At 46.9% G+C, this 20,382-nt stretch overlaps 1 protein-coding gene across 6 annotated transcripts in view, besides 5 other annotated features; it reads left to right on the forward strand.

The window, feature by feature from the left end:
• Positions 1,470 to 1,859: a silencer, noted in NCBI's record as "silent region_240". NCBI's record gives its function as "represses an Ori minimal core promoter by ATAC-STARR-seq in GM12878 lymphoblastoid cells {active_cell/tissue: GM12878}" and the evidence as "EXISTENCE:reporter gene assay evidence [ECO:0000049][PMID:35858748]".
• Positions 1,470 to 2,278: a biological region, named in NCBI's record as "NANOG-H3K27ac-H3K4me1 hESC enhancer GRCh37_chr1:10092788-10093442".
• Positions 1,624 to 2,278: an enhancer, noted in NCBI's record as "NANOG-H3K27ac-H3K4me1 hESC enhancer chr1:10092788-10093442 (GRCh37/hg19 assembly coordinates)". NCBI's record gives its function as "activates a minimal SCP1, AML or CMV promoter by ChIP-STARR-seq in primed H9 embryonic stem cells {active_cell/tissue: H9 hESC(primed)}" and the evidence as "EXISTENCE:reporter gene assay evidence [ECO:0000049][PMID:30033119]".
• Positions 1,852 to 20,382, forward strand: part of UBE4B (ubiquitination factor E4B) — a 148,282-nt gene continuing 129,751 nt past the window's right edge. For 5 of the 6 annotated variants that reach the window (NM_001410744.1, NM_001105562.3, NM_006048.5 and 2 more), the window contains exon 1: positions 1,852 to 2,588. In NM_001410744.1, the coding sequence (NP_001397673.1) occupies positions 2,565 to 2,588 (24 nt within the window). In that variant the 5' untranslated portion in view covers positions 1,852 to 2,564. Of the gene's footprint in view, positions 2,589 to 18,125; positions 18,250 to 20,382 lie in introns of those variants that run through there. The other variant, XM_047428018.1, reaches the window with a different exon arrangement.
• Positions 1,890 to 2,109: a silencer, noted in NCBI's record as "silent region_241". NCBI's record gives its function as "represses an Ori minimal core promoter by ATAC-STARR-seq in GM12878 lymphoblastoid cells {active_cell/tissue: GM12878}" and the evidence as "EXISTENCE:reporter gene assay evidence [ECO:0000049][PMID:35858748]".
• Positions 2,670 to 2,719: an enhancer, noted in NCBI's record as "active region_141". NCBI's record gives its function as "activates an Ori minimal core promoter by ATAC-STARR-seq in GM12878 lymphoblastoid cells {active_cell/tissue: GM12878}" and the evidence as "EXISTENCE:reporter gene assay evidence [ECO:0000049][PMID:35858748]".

A 20,382-nucleotide genomic window follows, 5' to 3' on the forward strand; every position in this document is an offset into this window, starting at 1 on the left:
TTGTGACGGAGTCTCGCTCTGTTGCCCAGGCTGGAGTGCAGTGGCACGATCTCGGCTCCTTGCAACTTCTGCCTCCCGGGTTCAAGCAATTCTTTGCCTCAGACTCCCAAGTAGCTGGGATTACAGGTGCCCGCCACCACGCCCTTCTAATTTTTGTATTTTGTATTTCACCATCTTGGCCAGGCTGGTCTTAAACTCCGGACCTCTTGATCCACCCGCCTTGGCCTCCCAAAGGGCTGGGATTACAGGCGTGAGCCACTGCGCCCAGCCCGGGAGTGACTGTTAATGGCTTTGAGGGTTTCTTTTTGGGATGATGAAAATGTTCTGAAATTGGACAGTGAGGATGACTGAACTGTGAACATAATAAAACCACTGTACACCTTAATTGGGTGAATTGTATGGTATGTAAATTAGATGGCAATAATGAGGTTAAAAAAAGTAAACTTTTAACATCAATGTCACCAGGGGTTCAAGTTCTGGCTTACACAGAATTCCTTTCCTGGAGAGCAGATAATATGCAAAGCCAGCAGTGATTTATTTTTACTCACAAATTCCTTACATATTTTTACTCACAAATTCCTTACATATCTAGTAGTCAGGTTCCTATTTTAAGCATGTAGCAAATACATTGTAACTCTTAATTCTGGAATGCAGTCTTTATGGCTTAGTGAGCCATCCAATCCACTTATAGTCTTCGTCAGCGGCAAAATCTGGAATTTCATGGTACTGTTACTTTGATCGCTCAACTTAGATTTATATTTTATAAATATATATATACATACATATATATATATTTTTTGAGATGGAGTCGCGCTCTGTCGCCCAGGCTGGAGTGCAGTGGCGCGATCTCGGCTCACTGCAAGCTCCGCCTCCCGGGTTCACGCCATTCTCCTGCCTCAGCCTCCCGAGTAGCCGGGACTACAGGCGCCCGCCGCCACATCTGGCTGATTTTTTGTATTTTTTAGTAGAGACGGGGTTTCACCGTGTTAGCCAGGATGGTCTCGATCTCCTGACCTCGTGATCCGCCCGCCTCGGCCTCCCAAAGTGCTGGGATTACAGGCGTGAGCCACCGCGCCCGGCCAAATATTTGTATTCTTGTGCACCGGAGGATGGTTTTCCCCCACTGACTCCAAACGTCTTCCTTGCATTTGCTGTGTACAATTCAGTGATTTGGGTCTCTCATCCATTTATACTTTCAAATTTTACCAATACTTTTTGAACACACTTAAAAAAAAAAAAACCCAGGAAGTATCTCTAAAAGGCCAAGGTAAAATAAAATGAATGGGAGTTCTTGTGTTCGAGTTTTCTTCCAACTGGGCTTTCCTGGAGGAGGTGGAAGAGTGTGTGGCAGATGTTTCAGAAAATGAGCGCTCAATACGGTAGATCACGCTCCCGGGGTCAAGGAGACGTTTTCCGTTTTCTTTTCCCTCGCTTAGGCGGCGGGCGCGCACAGTCCAGTGGGAGCGATGAGGTGTTTCTAGGCCCCCAAGTCACAGAAAAGCAGGCGATTGGGAACAACGGAGGCGCGGCGGGCCCCCGGGCCGCGGGCCAGCGCCACCTTCTGGTGGATCTTCCCCGACGCGAGTCTGGGAGTCGTCCCTCCCCTTGCCAGCCTACCTGGCTCAGGCCCGCCGCGCCCGCAGCCCCAGCGCGGTCGCCGTGGCAACGCCCCGCCCAGCCGCCAGCCTCCCTTTGCCCCTCCCCACGTCCGGCGCGGCTGCGCGGGACGGGGTGGGACGGAGGCGGGGAGAGGACGCAGGCGAGAGGAACTCGGCGGCGCGGCGCCCGCGGCCTATTGGCTGCCACGTCCCGGCGCCAGAAGCCCCGCCTCCCTGACGGGGGTCACGTGATCCCTTTCAAAGATGGCCGCCCTGTTGTTTTGATGAATAATACTTGGTGGGGCGAGGGGGAAAGAGTAGGGGTGGAGGGGTAGGAGGATTTACTCTTCCAGCGAGAGCTACGCGCATCCCATCCTCCCCCTCCCCCCTACCCGGGCTCCGGCGTGGAGGCGGGGCGTGGCCGGCCTGCTTTGGGAGGGGAGGGGCTTCCCTTACAGTGCTGGGCTCTGCCAGGACGGCTGTGGGGTCGCCTTACCTCGGGGTATCCACTCTGCAGTCGACCAGTTCCCGCCAGGAGCAAAGGGTAGGAAGGAGAGCAGGATCTGCTGTAGGAACGCAGCTACCGCGCCACTATCACGAAGAAACAGCAGGCTCGGGGCACGAGACGAACTGGAGACCGCGCTGCCTAGCTGGGTAACCTGGGAAGCAGAGGGTAATAAGTGGCGCCTTAAGACAACCCTGTAGCAGCAGCAGTGGCGGCCAAAGGAGGCTGCTCAGGGAACAAGCGGCTGTAGTAGTCTGTGGGGCGACTGGAGTGACCGAAGCCAAGGCAGTTTAGTGCCTCTCGTGTTCTTATTTTTTAACCTCTGACTATGCAATTCTGAAACCTCCCCCATTCGGGGGACCAGACAGCCTGATAGACACCTTCCACTCTCCTTCCTCCCGCCGTGGTCTCGAGAACAGAAGGATCTCTCCTTAACGCCTTTCACCATTAAGAGGAAAGCGATGGAGGAGCTGAGCGCTGATGAGGTGAGGAGGTTGGGGGACACCTTGAGGGATTAGTTGGCAACTCGTTAGCGCTTTGGACAGGGATGGTATTGCGCCAGTGCTGTCTGGCCTTTGGGCTTGGAGAAGGAACGGAGATGATATTTTCCAAGAATAACGTGACTCCCCGATAGGGTCTCTGGTTTTGTTCTCCTTTATTCTGTTGCCTTCTTTCTTCATTCTGAACTCCATTTGCTTCTTTCCGAGTGTTCTTTTAGGGTATGAACAAGAGGAGAGAGCATCTTGAGGTGTTTATTCTTTTCTTCAGGGTATGCGAACAAGAAGGGCGAGATTTACATGAAGTTAAAGTGTGTGTGTGTCTGTGTCTTCAGGAATTTAAAGAACAATTTTGGATGGAATGAGAATGTATGGTGGGTGAATATTTTTAAAGAAAGCATTTGAAATTCCAGATATGTGTGGTTATTGCACTGTATAAGCTTGATTAAACATATATTTTTGCTTGAGGGGTGGTTTACAGACAGATTCTTTGATATTTAACAAAATATGTATCTTCTCCACAGTTTAGAGAATTCCAGTTATATTCTGGTACTTAATAGACCACTAATGACTTCTGGCATTCTTCTGTTACATTCTATCTTTTCCTACTTCTTGAATCTTTCAAACTTGTGTTTTGCTGTAGCAGAGACTGAACGGGAAGCAAGTGGAAGCAAATGACTTTCTAAACTCTCTCCTGTTCTCATTTCTTAAAGGAGTTATACAGATCTACTTCTTGATGTTTTAAAGATTGTTTAATAAATTAGGTTGTTGTAAAAAAAAAAACAACCAAAAAGCAGTGGCAATTAGGGTACAAGGAATTTCCTATGATTCTACTGCCTTTTCTCTTCCTTTTTGCAAATTAGGAGCTTCCCTTTCAGGACCCCTACTGGCCATACCCTCTTTAGCCTACCTCCACATTTCTTCACTGGTTCATCATGTAAACTTCCCTACAGTATTAGGAAAGCAGTCATCCATCAAGTTGATTGTACTACAAGACTTCCATGCTCCAGTTTTAGCTACAGAGTACTTAGTGTGTTTACTTAGGGACTGAAATTCTCCTGGGATAGGACACGCAGTGGTGTGTTAAGGGTCAGGTAGGAAAGGAAGCAAATGATTTTGTTGATTGTGATACTTGGATACTTGGTTTGGAAAATCAGGACTGCCCATTCGGCGTTACTTTGTTTTTTTCGAATACAGCAGAAATGTAATCTTAAGTGAAGAGAATATTACACAGTTTCTTTCATTCGGTAGGAAATCTCCTTAGAATCGCTTTATTTTATGTGGGTTTTTTTTTGTTTGTTTGTTTTTTTGAGACGGAGTCTTGCTCTGTCGCCCAGGCTGCAGTGCAGTGGCGCGATCTCGTCTCACTGCAAGCTCCGCCTCCCGGGTTCACACCATTCTCCTGCCTCAGCCCCCTGAGTAGCTGGGACTACAGGCGCCCGCTACCACGCCCGGCTATTTTTTGTATTTTTAGTAGAGATGGGGTTTCACCATGTTGGCCAGGATGGTCTCCATCTCTTGACCTCGTGATGCACCCGCCTCAGCCTCCCAAAGTGCTGGGATTACAGGCGTGAGCCACCGCGCCTGGCCTGTTTTATGTGGTTTTTTAAAAGTTTCTCTACCTCCCCCGTTTTTCATTAATGTTAATTCTAGTGAGTAATTTCTCTTAAGGCAGAGATACTGTTTTTTTTTTTTTTTTTTTTTTTTTGAGGCGGAGTCTCGCTCTGTCGCCCAGGCTGGAGTGCAGTGGCGCTATCTCAGCTCACTGCAAGCTCTGCCTCCCGGGTTCACGCCATTCTCCTGCCTCAGACTCCGGAGTAGCTGGGACTACAAGCGCCCGCCACCACTCCCGGCTAGTTTTTTGTATTTTTTTGTGTTTTTAGTAGAGACGGGGTTTCACTGTGTTAGCCAGGATGGTCTCGATTTCCTGACCTTGTGATCTGCCCGCCTCGGCCTCCCAAAGTGCTGGGATTACAGGCGTGAGCCACCGTGACCGGCCAGAGATAGTTTTTTTATTTTTTTTTATTTTTTATTTATTTTATTTTATTTTTTTTGAGACGGAGCCTCGCTCTGTTGCCCAGGCTAGAGTGCAGTGGCGCGATCTCAGCTCACTGCAAAGCTCCGCTTCCCGGGTTCACGCCATTCTCCTGCCTCAGCCTCCCGAGTAGCTGGGACTACAGGCGCCCGCCACCACGCCCGGCTAATTTTTTGTGTTTTTAGTAGAGACGGGGTTTCACCGTGTTAGCCCAGGATGGTCTCAATCTCCTGACCTCGTGATCCGCCCGCCTCGGCCTTCCAAAGTGCTGGGATTACAGGTGTGAGCCACCGCGCCCGGCCGAGGTAGTTTTTTAGTAGTCCTTTACTCCTATAAATTACTTTTTTTTTTTTTTTTTGATGATCTGTTAATAGTCCTTGGTTTAGAGGCTTTTGCATACTTGAGTTTTCACCAAAAAATTCTTTTCAAACCAGTGAGGCATTACAGACCAGTGAAGATATTGTATAATCTAAAATGTGTCTCTTCACTTTCATCAGTCCTTGAGGAAGGTGTAACTTTTTTTTGTGACCATATGAGGAACACATGTAACCTTTGTGGAAGAAATAGAATAAACTTTTTTCAAGGTCAACAGAATATTAAAATAAATGAAAAAAATTAAATTCACTAATACAGGATCAATGTAAAATTATCTTCAACAAATTAGTTGTCCAGAACACAAAGGGCTGGTTCAATAACTGTTAATTTTACTCTCAGCAGAACCTAGAACAAATAATATTCGTTTGTTTTTAATTTAAAAAATCTTTTTTTTTTTTGTAGAGACGGGGGTCTTGCCATGTTTCCCAGGATGGTCTCAAACTCCTGACCTCAAGCGATCCTCCCACTTCAGCCTCCCAAAGTGGGAGCCAGACAAATAGTTATTTTGGGAAAAATATCTTTGAAGTTTTTCTTTTTAATTCAATTAAAAATTTTTGAGGTTAGGTAAGCAGTTCTCATGAGACATTTCCAAAGCTTTTGCCTTTGTATTGTTACTCTGTAGTTGAAAACTTGTGTCAGATATGGTAGGTGACATTGATTTGATTACAAAATAATACACTTATATTATTGAAACTTCAAGCTTATATTTCAGGGTTAAAACAGGCAAGGCGGTGATCTTTTAATCTAATTTAGGAAATTAGGTAAGGCAGAGTTTCATATTTTAACAAAATGAAAATGTATGATTATACAGTCCGTGAAAAAGGCTGGTATAACCAGACTGGTAGCTTTAGGAACTTTTAAATTATGTGCACTTTTTGGTCCCTGTCATAGATCACCTAGAATTCTTGTGCTTTTTAAATTTTTTTGTGAGACAGAGTTTCGCTCTTGTTGCCCAGGCTGGAGTGCAATGGCGCGATCTTGGCTCATTGCAACCTCTGCCTCCCGGGTTCAAGCGATTTTCCTGCGTCAGCCTCCCAAGTAGCTGGAATTACAGGCATGCGCCACCATACCCGGCTAATTTTGTATTTTTAGTAGCGACGGGGTTTCTCCATGTTGGTCAGGCTGGTCTTGAACTCCTGACCTCAGGTGATCTGCCTGCCTCGGCCTCCCAAAGTGCTGGGATTACAGGCATGAGCCACTGTGCCCGGTAGTCTTGTGCTTTTAAGTAGAGTACTTTAACTTCACTGTTGTTTGTTATTTATATAGTGTATTACAGTGAGTTCATTGCCCTATAGTTCACTGCCTATAGGTTCATTGCAGAACCATGACTAAGTTCATTCTCTTCAGGAACCTACATTCCAAGGCATCATTATTTACATTATATTAATTCTATAATCTACTCATGTGTTGTTTTTCGTATCTCAAGGTGGTGCTGTGAGTAGGTGGTGTGTTTATTTTTGAGATAGGGTCTGGCTCTATCGCCCAGTCTGGAATGCAATGGCATGATCTTGGCTCACTGCAACCTCTGCCTCCTGGGCTCAAGTGATCCTCCCACCTCAGCCTCCCAAGCTGAGACTACAGGCTCATGCCACCACACCTGGCCAATTTTTGTATTTTTTTCTAGAGACAGGGTTTCACCATGTTGCCCAGGCTGGTCTCAAACTCCTGGGCTCAAGTGATCCACCCGCCTTGGCCTCCCAAAGTGCTGAGATTACAGGCATGAGCCACCATGCCCAGCCAAGTAGGTGTTTTAAACTGTTTTTCGACAATGGTAATGAGATTGCATAAGTGATTTTTCTCTCCTAACTCTTCTTTATGACCTAGTTCATCTGCAAGATGGTTGGCTGGGATTCCGGGTGTGGTCAAGATTTTAGAAAGTGTTGGCCGGGCGCAGTGGCCCACGCCTGTAATCCCAGCGCTTTGGGAGGCCGAGGTGGGTGGATCACCTGAGTTCGGGAGTTCAAGACCAGCCTGTCCAACATGGAGAAACCCCATCTCTACTAAAAATACAAAATTAGCTGGGCGTGGTGGCACATGCCTGTGATCCGAGGTACTCAGGAGGCTGAGGCAGGAGAATTGCTTGAACCCGGGAGGCGGAGGTTGCAGTGGGCCGAGATCACACCACTACACTCCAGCCTGGGCAACAAGAGTGAAACTCCATCTCAAAAAAAAAAAAAAAAGATTTAGAAAGTGTTTTAAGTATTCCTTTCCAAATGCAGAATATGTGACCTTGGACTTTTTAGCAAGGTTCTGTAAGTGGAAGAAAATTGACATTAAACAACAGCCTTAGGAGCCTCTTCTGTGCCAGGCACTTGATAGCTGTTTCTCATTAGAGAAAACATTATAATCAAGCAGGTACTGTTTTCCTAATTTTACAAGTCAGGAAACTGGGATTCAGGTTAAGTAACTTGTCCATAGCGACCTGGCTTAGAAGTGATGGGGTTGGAATTCAAACCCAGTGCTCTGGACTCGAAAGTCCTCTTTATTCTACTGCTCAACAACTGACATAAATTCACCACAGCTTTTGTATCAACATCCTACGTAACACTGACCCACTCTGTTTTGATATACATAGTTTTTCTGTAGAAGTGCTGTTTTGCATGAATGCATTCATGATGTGATCAGGGCTTTTGGTACTGGTCCTCCCACTCCCAATTTTTTTTTTAAATGCCTGTCGCGTTAAAAATTTGGGAGTTGGGGCCGGGCGCGGTGGCTCACGCCTGTAATCCCAGCACTTCGGGAGGTCGAGGCAGGCGGATCACGTGAAACCCCGTCTCTACTAAAAATACAAAAATTTGCTGGGTGTGATGGTACGCACCTGTAATCCCAGCTACTCAGGAGGCTGAAGTAGGAGAATTGCTTAAACTCAGGAGACAGAGGTTGCAGTGAGCCGAGATTGCGCCACTGTACTCTAGCCTGGGAGGCAGAGCAAGACTCCATCAAAAAAACAAACAAACAAAAAAACACACACACAGAAAAACAAACAAAAAAGCAATTATAATTAAATTTGAGTAGAGGAGATAGATAGGAATCCAACAGTTATAGAATAGTGCCAGGTGCTATGGTGGAGGTATGCACAACTCACTTAAGAAACATGAGAAGGGACCCCGGGAGAGGCAGGGTCTTAGTGAAGACTTTCAAGAAAAAGTGATACTTAACGCTGAGTAGCAGTTGCCCTGGGAACTGGCTCGAAATTGGGGAGCTCAAGAAACAGCAGCAAGTAGTGTGACTGGAGAGGTGGGTTTTACCTCGGGTGTGTGGCAGGTACCTGATCTTGGAGGGCTGTCAGAAACGTTTAGGAGTTTGAACTTTCTTTTTGTTGTTGTTTTTTGGGACAGAATCTCTCTCTGTTGCCCAGGCTGGAGTGAAGTGGCATGATCTCGGCTCACTGCAGCCTCTGGTTCCCGGGTTCAAGTGATTCTCCTGCCTCAGCCTCCCAAGTAGCTGGGATTACAGGTGCATGCCACCATGCCCTGCTGATTTTTTTTTTTTTTTGTATTTTTAGTAAAGATGGGGTTTTACCATGTTGACTAGGCTGGTTTCAAACTCCTGACCTCAAGTGGCCCACCTGCCTCTGCCTGCCAAAGTGCTGGGATTACAGGCGTGAGCCACTGCACGTGGCTGAGTTTGAACTTTCTCTGTAAAATGCCTTTTAGGGATTTTAAGAGATTAGAAAGATGGGTGGCAAGGGAGTAAAGGGTAGTTTGGGAGAAGGTGGCTGCAGACTGCAAGACATATTAGGAGGCTGTTGTTGCTGTATAGGAGCGAGGCAGTGGAGTCCAAGGGAACTAAGGCATTGCCTGTGGGAATGGAGGGGAGCAGACAGACACCAAAAATACCAAGGACTGTGATTAACCCAGTTTTGATGATCAGTTAGCTGTGAAGGAGGGGAGGGGAGGAGAGATGGAGAAATGACACCTTGGTTTCTAGCTATGGAGAAGGATAGATAAGGGTTGAATAAGGAATTCCAGAGAAGCAGCAGATTTTGGAGAAAGCACATGTTTCTTTTTTTTTTTTTCGTCTTTTGAGACAGGGTCTCCCTCTGTCGCCCAGGCTGGAGTGCAGTGGCGCAACCTCAGCTCACTGCAACCTCTGCCCCCTGGGTTCAAGTGATTCTCCTGCCTCAGCCTTCCAAGTAGCTGCCAGCCATGCCCAGCTAATTTTTTAATTTTTAGTAGAGACGGTGTTTCACCATATTGGCCAGGCTGGTCTTGAACTCCAGACCTTGGTGATCCGCCTGCCATGGCCTCCCAAAGTGCTGGGATTACAGGTGTCAGCTACCACGCCAGGCCTCCGGCTAATTTTTGTATATTTTGTAGAGACAGGGTCTTGCCATGTTGCCCAGGCTGGTCTCAAACTCCTGGGCTCAAGTGATCTGCCCACCTCAGCCTCCCAGAGTGCTGAGATTGCAAGTTTAATTTTGGACCACCAAAAAGATGAGTCCACATGTAGACCCCCACTCTGGCCTTGGTGCTCTAACATCTCCATTTCTTTCTTCTTTTTTCTTTTTTTTTTTTTGAGATGGAGTTTCGCTCTTGTTGCCCAGGCTGGAGTGCAATGGCGCGATCTCAGCTCGCTGCAACCTCTGCCTCCCAGGTTCAAGCGATTCTCCTGCCTCAGCCTCCCGAGTAGCTGGGATTACAAGCATGTACCACCATGCCTGGCTAATTTTTTTGTATTTTTATTAGAGACGGGATTTCTCCATGTTGGCTTGGCGGGTCTCAAACTCTTGACCTTAGGTGATCTGCCTGCCTCAGCCTCCCAAAGTGCTGGGATTACCGGCGTGAGCCACCGCACCCAGCCTAACATCCCCACCTCTTTGACCATTTCTTCCCTTGTAACAGGCCTGAGGACCTGAGGTCCCTTTTTTCCTCAGAAGATAGTTGCTACCATTCACTTTATAACCAGGACTCTTTCTTAAGCCTGGGAGGACAGTGGGATGTATCCTGCCAGGCCCTTTCCTCTCCTTTTGTTCATTGTAGACAAGAGACAGAGAATGATAATAAGGATATAAACTTGCTTCACAAGGTTGGCATCCTTATCCCCTGTTTTACAGATAAGAAAATGGAGGCTAATAGAAATTAATTTATTGAAAGGCACACAACTAGTAAGTGGTAGAACCTGGACTCTAATCCAGGTTCTGACTCCAGAGTTTTCTATCGCTTTACTACCTCTAAAACAAGACTTAACCTCAGCCAACTGTAACCTTTTTGGCATTCTTTTTTTTTTTTTTTTTTGATGGAGTTTCGCTCTCGTCACTCAGGCTTGAGTGCAATGGCCTGATCTCGGCTCACTGCAACCTCTGCCTCCTGGGTTCAAGCAATTCTCCTGCCTAAGCCTCCCAAGTAGCTTTGATTACAGGCTCCCGCCAGCATGCCCAGCTAATTTTTGTATTTTTAGTAGAGATGGGGTTTCTCCAAGTTGGCCAGGCTGGTCTCGAACTTCTGACCTCAGGCGATCCCCCCGCCTCGGCCTTCCAAAGTGCTGGGATTACAAGCGTGAACGACTGTGCCCGGCCACATTTATAGCATTCTTACGGTCCCTTCTGAGATAGGAAGTGGAAGCCCCAGTGGACTTTTTGTTTGTTTGTTTGTTTTTTAAGACAGAGCCTCGCTGTGTCCCCATGCTGGAGTGCAGTGGCACGATCTCTGCTCACTGCAACCTCCGCCTCCCGAGTTCAAGTGATTCTCCTGCCTCAGCCTCCCGAGTAGCTGGGGTTACAGGCACATGCCACTACTGCCCGGCTAATTTTTGTATTTTTAGTAGAGGGGTTTCACCATGTTGGCCAGGCTGGTCTCAAACTCCTGACCTCAAATGATCCACCCACCTCAGCCTCCCAAAGTTGTGGGATTACAGGCATGATGCTGGAGTGCAGTGGTGCTATCTTGGCTCACTACAACCTCTGACTCCTGAATTCAAGCGATTCTCCTGGGTCAGCCCCTCGAGTATCTGGGATTACAGGCGCCCGCCGCCAGGCCCAGCCCTCCAGTGGACTTTCATTCCCGTTTGTTATTGCTGAGAGTGGAGCTCATCAAGTAGCCCCAAGCTCTTGTAGGGAAAGAAGGCAGAAAGACTTCTCTGTGCAAAGTGCATTTTCTCACACGGCACTTGTAGTATCTAGTGGAAATGTCTTCCTGTAAACGGTTCATTCAACAGCGCTTACAGTTGACTAGCTGCATCCCTGATAACAGACAAACGTTGCTGTATGGAGCTTCGTCCTAGTGGGAGGAGAGGGATAAAAAACAAGCATGGCCGGGCGTGGTGGCTCACGCCTGTAATCCCAGCACTTTGGGATGCTGAGGCGGGTGGATCACGAGGTCAGGAGTTCGAGACCAGCCTGACCAACATGGTGAAACCCTGTCTCTACTAAAAATACAAAAATTAGCCGGGCGTGGTGGTGCACGCCTGTAATCCTAGCAACTCAGGAGGCTGAGGCAGGAGAATAGCTTGAACCCGGGAGGCAGGGGTTACAGTGAGCTGAGATTGCACCACTGCACTCTAGCCTGGGCGACAGAGTGAGACTGTGTCTCAAAAGCAAAGAAACAAACAAACAAACATGTTCACATAAGGTGTCATTTGATGAGAAGTGCTGTGAAGAGAAATACTTAGGGATGGAGTATTGTTACAGAGTATTTCTGTGGCCTACAGGTACAGAGAACAATCAGATATGTGTAACGTGTGCACTTTGAGGAGGTGGTCTTGAAAAGAATTTCAGGGATGGCTGGGAGCTTGCTCGGGGAAGAATGTTCCCAGGTAAAGGGAACAGCAGGTTCAGAAGGCCTTGAGGTAAACTCATTCTTGAGCTGTTCCAGGAATAGCAAGGATGCCAAGCATGGTTAGAGCCTTCTGTGCAAGGGGCACAGTGGCAGGAGGTAAAGTCATTCATTCTTTTTTTTTTTTTTTAATTTTTTGAGACAGAGTTTTACTCTGTCACTCAGGCTGGACTGCAGTGGCTCAATGTCAGCTCACTGCAACCTCCGCCTCGGGGGTTCAAGCAATTCTCCTGTCTCAGCTTCCCAAGTAGCTGGGATTACAGGCATGCACCACCATGCCCGGCTAATTTTGTATTCTTAGCACAGTTGGAGTTTTACCATGTTGACCAGGCTGGTCTTGAACTCCTGACCTCAGGTGATCTGCCGGCCTCAGCCTCCCAAAGTGCCGGGATTACAGGTGTGAGCCACCGCACCCGGCCAACTTTCAGTAAAAACTTACTGAGATCTCAACTGTTTTTCAATCATTTCTGAGATGTACTCTCCTCCCCCTTGTTTTCATCACATTTTAATATCTTTGAAATTGAGATGCTGCTTTTTTTTTTTTTTTTTTTTTTGAGATGGAGTCTCACTCTTGTCACCCAGGCTGGAGTGCAGTGGCGCGATCTCGGCTCACTGCAAGCTCCGCCACCTGGGTTCACACCATTTTCCTGCCTCAGCCTCCCAAGTAGCTGGGACTACAGGCGCCCACCACCAAGCCTGACTAATTTTTTTTGTATTTTTAGTAGAGACGGGGTTTCACCGTGTTAGCCAGGATGGTCTCGAGCTCCTGACCTCGTGATCCACCCGCCTCAGCCTCCCAAAGTGCTGGGATTACAGGCGTGATCCAACGCGCTGGGCCGGGATGCTTCTTATAAATAGATGGTGTAATCACCGTTGGCCAGGTGGCAGTTGTGACATAGTTGTCATTTCCTGTTTAGGTGTGAACCTGGTTATACCTGTTCATGTAATCACCCCTTCAGTTGAGTGCTACAGTGTTAAAATTAGTTGCCATTTTAAATGCCTTCCAAACAATTACACTTAGATTCAGCAATGAAAGCAAGTGTTACTTTGTATACAGAGAGGAATGGAAACAGGAGGTGGGGTGTCCATTTGCTGTTTCTAAAGAAAATGTTTGTTGTTGGGGGAGTGACCACAATTCCACGTTTCTTTTCTTTTCTTTTTTTTTTGGAGACAGAGTCTTGCTCTGTTACTCACGCTGGAGTGCAGTGGCAGGATCTCAGCTCACTGCAACCTCCACCTGCCAGGTGCCAGGTTCAAGCGATTCTCGTGTCTCAGCCTCCCGAGTAGCTGGGATTATAGGTGTATAGGTGCGTGCCACCATGCCCGGCTAATTTTTGTATTTTTAGCGGAGACGGGGTTTTACTCTTGTTGTCCAGGCTGATCTTGAACTCCTGACCTCAAATGATCGGCTTGCCTCGGCCTCCCAAAGTGCTAGGATTACAGGTGGGAGCCACCGCGCCTGGCCCAGTTCCATATTTAATTGCCAAACACCACCAAGTGAATTAGGGCAGTGGTCCCCAACCTTTTTGGCACCAGGGACTGGTTTCGTAGAAGACACTTTTTCCATGGGTGGTGGTGGTGGGAGGGGAAGGGATGGTTTTGAGATGATTCAAGCATATTACATTTGTTGTGCTCCTTCCTTCCTTACCCTTCCTTCCTTACTCTTCCTTCCTTCCTTCCTTCCCTCCCTCTCTCCTTCCCTCCTTCCACCGCCCGCCTGTCTCGCTTTGTCACCCAGGCTAGAGTACAGTGGCATGATCTCAGCTCACTGTAACTCCACCGCTTGGGCTCAAGCGATCCTCCCACCTCAGCCTCCTGAGTACTTGGGACCATAGGCGCACGCCATCATGCCCGGCTAATTTTTTGTATTTTTGATAGAGATAGAGTTTTACTATGTTGGCCAGGCTGTTCTTGAACTCCTGAGCTCAAGCAGTCCACCCACCTCAGCCTCTCAAAGTGCTGGGATTACAGGCATGAGCCACCGCGCCTGGCCTGTGCCCTTTATTTCTATTATTATTATATTGTAATATAGAATGAAATAATTTTACAACCCACCATAATGTAGAATCAGTGGGAGCCCTGACCTTGTTTTTCTGTAAGTAGACGGTCCATCTAGGGGTGATGGGAGAAAGTGACAGATCATCAGGCATTGGATTCTCCTAAGGAGGGTGCAATGTAGATCCCTCGCGTGCAGAACTCAATGTAGGGTTCATGCTCCCATTCGAATCTAATGCCACTGCTGATCTTGCAGGAGGCGGAGCTCAGGTAGTAATGCGAGTGATGGGGAGTGGCTGCAAATACAGATGGAGCTTCACTCCCTCACTCGCGTGCTTGCTTGGTACTGGTCTGTGGCCCAGGGGTTGGGGACCCCCGCATTAGGGAGCTTCAGAGAGGCCGAAATCCATAAGTGTGTGAAGCCATGTCACATTTTGTAACTGAACATACAGTTAGGAGGATTGCATTTCACACTCAGGCAATGCAACCTTAGGTCAGAGACACTCCACATTCCTCAGAAAGAAATTTCAGGGCTATGAGAGCCTGGTGTAACTGATGACAACTCTGTCCTTGTCTGTTGTTCAGGCATTTTGTTGTGGTTTAATGTGCCATATTTTGTTTCTCTTGGTGGTGAAAAATAATGGTACAGTCTACAGTCTGACATATTTGATGAAATATGGTCTATGTCCAGCATTGTTCTAGACCATGAGGGTACACCTGTGGACAAAACAGAAATCTCTGCCCTCCTGGGCATTCTGGCTGCTGTGAAGAGAATAGATAAGGAGGAAAGAGCAAAAGCAGAGAGAAAGGCGGCCATCGAAGGAGTCCCAGGGAGAGATGATGTGGGGGCCACCAACTGGGGTTAGTGGTTGAGAGGGGGAGAAAGGGTCAAACACTAGATGGTCAGATACATTTTGTGGGTAGAGCCAATAGGATTGGGTAGTGAGTTGCATGTGGAGTATGAAAGAGTGGAGTCCAAGGTGCAGGGATGAGTTAGGTTATCATCGAGTTGATTGTTGTAACAGAGAGACATGAAGTGGCAGCTGCTTAAGCCAGATAGATGTTTATTTCTCTCTAAATAGAAGTCTGGGTAGGAGGCCGGGGCTGGTATGGCAGCTCTGCGCTCATTAGGAGCCCAGGTGCCTTCTGTCTTGTACCTACTTTCCTACCATATGGCTTCCATCTTTTGGCCCTTGTATGTCTGCATTCTGGCCAGAGAGGGGAGGGGAGGTCATGTGCCTCTTCATGGCACAGCTTGAAAGTTGCACAGATCACTCCTGTTTACCTCTCACTGGCTGGAACCCAAGTCACATGGCCACAGCTACTTGCTGGGAAGGCTGAGAAATAGTTTTTCTTGGGCAGCCATGTGTTCAGCTATACGTTCTCTCACATCAGAAAGGGAGAGCAGTCTATGCCTTTCTTTCCAAACCCTTCTCCCGAGGGAGACAACCCCGGATCAACTTCAGAGTCCAGAATCCCTGGGTGATGTACATTCCAGGAATCTTTAGTTTAAAACAAAGTTATCAGGGGCTCTGCTGTCCCCCATACAGTGGTGGAGAGGTTAGGATAATGGAAGTAGAAAGTCCTGTTTGGAAAAGGGAAGAATGGGGAGTAATACTCTGCGCTGGTCCATAGCCATTGTCAGCTCCTGCCAGGCTGAGCTGTGAGCGCTTCCTCCCCTGGCAGTACTGTGAGGTTCTGACCTCGCCTTTCTGGCAACCTTGATTCTGGTCTCTTGAAGGAGCTCCCTTGTGCCTGGCCCTCTGTAGCCTCTGACTTTATTTTCTGGAGAGTTTTTCTGTGTTTCTTTTCCTCTGGGGTCAGATCTGAAGTGGACATTGGAGGCTATCCTTTTTGTAGGGCTAAACAGTTTCTCCAGCTTGCTTCTTGTGGATATTGAAGGAGTAGGCTTTTTCAACCCTACTTAGCCCCAAATTACCAGACTCTGAAAACTTTGATTGTAGACCGCGGACATTCCTCAGGCAGACTGTATTCCCTTTCATCTTTGCATGCGAATTGGCAAGCTTTGGCTTGAGTCTGCTTCATGTTTGCAGGACTTCTTAGCCAGTAAGCACCAAATTTTGTATTGTTCGACCAGTTCCCCTAGAATTACAGGCCATGTTGGCATGCAGGCTGTTTTCTAAGATATCACGGGTTTTGCCAAATGTTTTATTGTGATCTCTGAGGGTTGCCATTCTTCCATCCTACAGTATCTGTGCCCATGCTGACCCCTAAGCCAATGCTGCATATTTGTATTGTTAAGGTTGATTACTTCCAGCTTCCAGATTCTGTGTATTAGTTAGGATATTGATTTGACTGCTGTGGCAGAGGTCGGAAATAATAATGGCTTGAACAAGATGTTGATTTTTTTCTATTTCAAGTGAAAATCTGGGTAGGTGGCTGAGAGCTGGCTTAGTAACTCCATGCCTGCTAGGGGGCCAGACTCATGCTGTTTTGTGCACTGTCATCCTCTAGCTTATAGGCCAGGAGGGCTGCTCCAGCTTCTTTGAGGAAATCTGCATCCCAGTCCTTAGGAAGGGACTCAAGTGGGAGGAGAGGGCATGTTCTATCCCATAAGAGCATGGCCAGAAAGCTTCATATATCTTTTTTTTTTTTTTTTTTTTTTTGAGATGGAGTCTCACTCTTTGCCCAGGCTGGAGTGTAGTGGCGTGATCTCGGCTCACCGCAAGCTCCGCCTCCCAGGTTCACGCCATTCTCCTGCCTCAGCCTCCCGAGTAGCTGGGACTGCAGGTGCCCGCCACCACACCTGGCTAATTTTTTCTATTTTTAGTAGAGATGGGGTTTCACCACGTTAGCTAGGATGGTCTCGATCTCCTGACCTCATGACCCACCCGCCTCGGCCTCCCAGAGTGCTGGGATTACAGGCTTGAGCCACCGCCCTTGGCCCATATGTCATTACTTACATCTCCTTGGCTAGAGCTTAGTCTCCTGGCCACACTCAAATGCAAACATGGTTGAATGCATTTTATTTATTTTACTTTTTTAGAGACAAGGTATTTTTTGTCACCCAGGCTAGAGTACAGTGCAGCCTCTAACTCCTGGGTTCAAGTGATCCTTCTGCCTTAGTCTCCTGAGTAACTGGGAGGTGTGTGCCACTGTGCCCAGCTAATTTTTAAATTTTTATTAGAGACGAGGGTCTCCCTGTGTTGCCTAGGCTGGTCTTGAACTCCTGACTTCAAACAATCCTCCTTCCTTGGCTTCCCAAGGCCCTGGGATTATAAGCATGAGCCACTGCATCCGTCCTGAATGCGTTTTGGGAGGCAACTAGCTTTTCTACCACAGGGATACCAGGAATTTTGGCTTAAGCAGCTCAAAAAATGGAATTGTCATTTACTGAGATGGGGAAAATTGAAAGAGAAGATTGGGAGGGAGACGTTATCATCTGGTTTGAACATATTATGAATATGCTGCCTGTTCTTTGTCCATATGGAGATGTGAAATAGGTTGTATAGGAGTTTGCAGTTCTTGGGGGAGGTTGGGGTTAGGGATACTAATCTGGAAGTTGTCATTGTATTTAAAATCATGAGAATGGACAGATTTTACCTAGAGAGTGAGCATAAATGCGGAAGACAAGAGGACTGAGCCTCCATCCATTCCAGCAATTAAAGGTTGGGAGATCAGGAGGACTCAGAAAAGGAGACTGATAAGGAACAGCCACTGAGGTTGGAGGACAGTCTAGAGAGCATGGAATCTGGTGTCCAGGGGAAGAAAGTATTTCATGATGTGGGGGAATGCTCAACTGTGTCTAATGTTGATAAAATTAGAGGAGGACCAAGACGTGACTATGGGATTTGGCGACATGGAGGCCCTTGGTTACCTTGACAAGACTGATTTCATTGCTGACTGGAGCAAGTTCAAGAGAGAATGGGAGGAGAGGGGAGGGAGCTCAGGAGTGAGGCGTAGGCTCCAGGGGTGCACTGGGAAGCCATCTGTAGTTGGCAGAAGCCATGGGTTTTAGAGGTGACAGGAAAATGTGGTGAGCTTATCTTTTTCTGTTTTAACTTTTCCCATTCTCTGCTATAATCACTACTTTCTTTATTCATTCAACACTCTGTTTCTCTCTCTTTCCCCAAGGGAGGAAGTAAAGAGGTAGAGATATATTTGTATATCATTCCTAGCATGAGGTTTTGGGCCTGAAGAGTTCCAAATAATAAATTTTGAGACATAATATGGGGAACATTGGATCATATTATAGTTTTTAGAGCTTAAAAAAATAGTTGAGTGGCAAATATTTCAGAGTAGGAGACTTGAATATTATTTAATTTGTTTGCTTAATTTCAACAAATATTTTTGGGCTTTGTGCCAGGTACTGAGGGCTGACTATGTGGAGATGCTGCTCGAATATGACGAAGACCTGGTCTTTACCTTCAGTGACCTCAGGCTGCAGCTGGGGACACAGGAACGCAACCAGCTAGACTTCAAGTGCTAAATAGACATTTCAGTAAAGGGGGTACGGTTGATGGGGCAGTTAATTCTGATGGGGAATGTAGGGAGGGGACTGGGAAGATTTGAATTAGTCTTTAAAGATGACTAGGATTTTGACAATTAGAACACTGTAGCCAGACGCAATGATGCATGCCTGCAATCCCTGCTACTTGGGAGGCCAAGGCAGGAGGATCACTTGAGCCCAGGAGTTTGAGGGCAGCCTGGGCAATATCATAAGACCTTTTCTCTAAAAAAAAAAAAAATTTTTTTAAATTAGGAAACAATGTTGGCTGGGCATAGTGTCTCATGCCTGTAACCCCAGCAATTTGGGAGGCCAAGGTGGGCAGATCACTTGAGTCCAGGAGTTTGAGACCAACTTGGACAACATAGGGAGACCCCATATGTCCAAAATGGCTGGGTGTGGTGGCATGCACCTGTGGTCCCAGCTACTCGGGAGGCTGAGATGGGAGAATCACTTGAGCCCGGCAGGTCCAGGGTGCAGTGAGCCATGATCCATGTCACTGCCCTCTAGTCTGGGCGAGAGAGCAAAAGACCCTGTCTCAAAAAAAAAAAAAAAAAGTTAGAAAAATAAGTCTGTGGTGAAGAGAAATGTTTCATTTACTTCTTACTCTGGGCAAATTCTGTTACATTCATTCTTTTGAAATTGATGATAGAAATATGAGAACATTGGAGAAAAACTGAAGATGGCAAATATGGGATATTGGTAGCTGCTTGCTGATCTGAAAGGCTGGTTTTTTTTGAGACAGAGTCTTGCTCTTGTCACCCAGGCTGGAGTGCAGTGGCGCTCTTGGCTCACTGCAACCTCCACTTCTGGGGTTCAAGCAATTCTCCTGCCTCAGCCTCCCGAGTAGCTGGGATTACAGGCATGCACCACCACACTTGGCTAATTTTCGTATGTTTAGTAGAGACCAGGTTTTGCCATGTTGGTCAGGCTGGTCTTGAACTCCTGACCTCAGGTGATCCGCCTGCCTTGGCCTCCCAAAGTGTTGGGATTACAGGTGTGAGCCAGTGTGCCTGGCCTGATCTGAAAGGTTTTGAGATATATCAGGCATAGCCAAATGTGTGACCCCAAGCTCTCCAAAACCACTAAGGGTCTGCAGCAGCTGAAGGAGTAGGTGATAGGGAGAAGTTGGAGGAACGGGAAAGGGGTTTCATTAAAATCACTTCTCTCCTAACATTAACCACACTGCATTGAATTATTTATTCACTTGGTGTAGCTCCTACTGGGATATGAACTCCTGGCTATTCTTGTTTACTGCTTTTTATCCAAGTTCTGGCACAGGGCTTGGCACAGAGTGGCTCAGAACAAATACTTGTTCAATGCATGAATGAATGCAGTGATACAACATGTCTTTTCAGGACTCCTATTCTTTTTTTTTTTTTTTTTATAGAGGTGGAGTTTCACTATGTTGCCATGTTGCCCAGGCTGGTTTCCAACTCCTGGCCTCAAGCCATCTTCCCTCCTCGGCCTCCCAAAGTGTTGAGATTATAGGCGTGAGCCACCACAACCGGCCTGCCTCCCAATTCTAGTATTGCAATAGTTTATTTGTTTGCTGCATTAAGTTGTGTTAATTAGGTTAAGGTAGGCACTTGATGAAAAAAGCCTCATTATCAGAGTTCTAATTCAGAGTCAGACATACTTGCAGGCTTTTTTGGTTGTTTGCTTTTTGTTTTGAGACAGGACTTGCTCTATGGCCCAGGCTGGAGTGCAGTGGCATTATCATAGCTCACTGCAGCCTCAAACTCCTGGGCTCAGATGATTTTCCCGCCTCAGCCTCCTGAATAGCTGGGACTACAGGCATGCCACTGTTCCTGGCTCTTACCTGGATTTTATTTGGAGCAACAAATTGGATGATTCTGGGGAAAGTACTTAATCTTTCTGAGCCTCAGTTTCCTCACTTATAAAATGGGGGTATGGAATACCATCTCGTAGCACTGTTCTTCAGATTAATTGGAGTGATGTGAAGTGTGCATGGTGTAGTGACCTGGCCGAGTGGATTCTTGGGACAAGTTAGTTCTCAAAGTAAGATTGAATTGTGTATAATTGGAGTTTTAGTTGGTGTCCATATAACATCTAACAAATCTTTTGCATATAATAATGCCAACAGCATAAATAGTGGTATCTTACTAGTTAAGG

This window comes from Homo sapiens, chromosome 1 (genome assembly GCF_000001405.40).
Source record: "Homo sapiens chromosome 1, GRCh38.p14 Primary Assembly".
Lineage (NCBI taxonomy): Eukaryota > Metazoa > Chordata > Mammalia > Primates > Hominidae > Homo > Homo sapiens.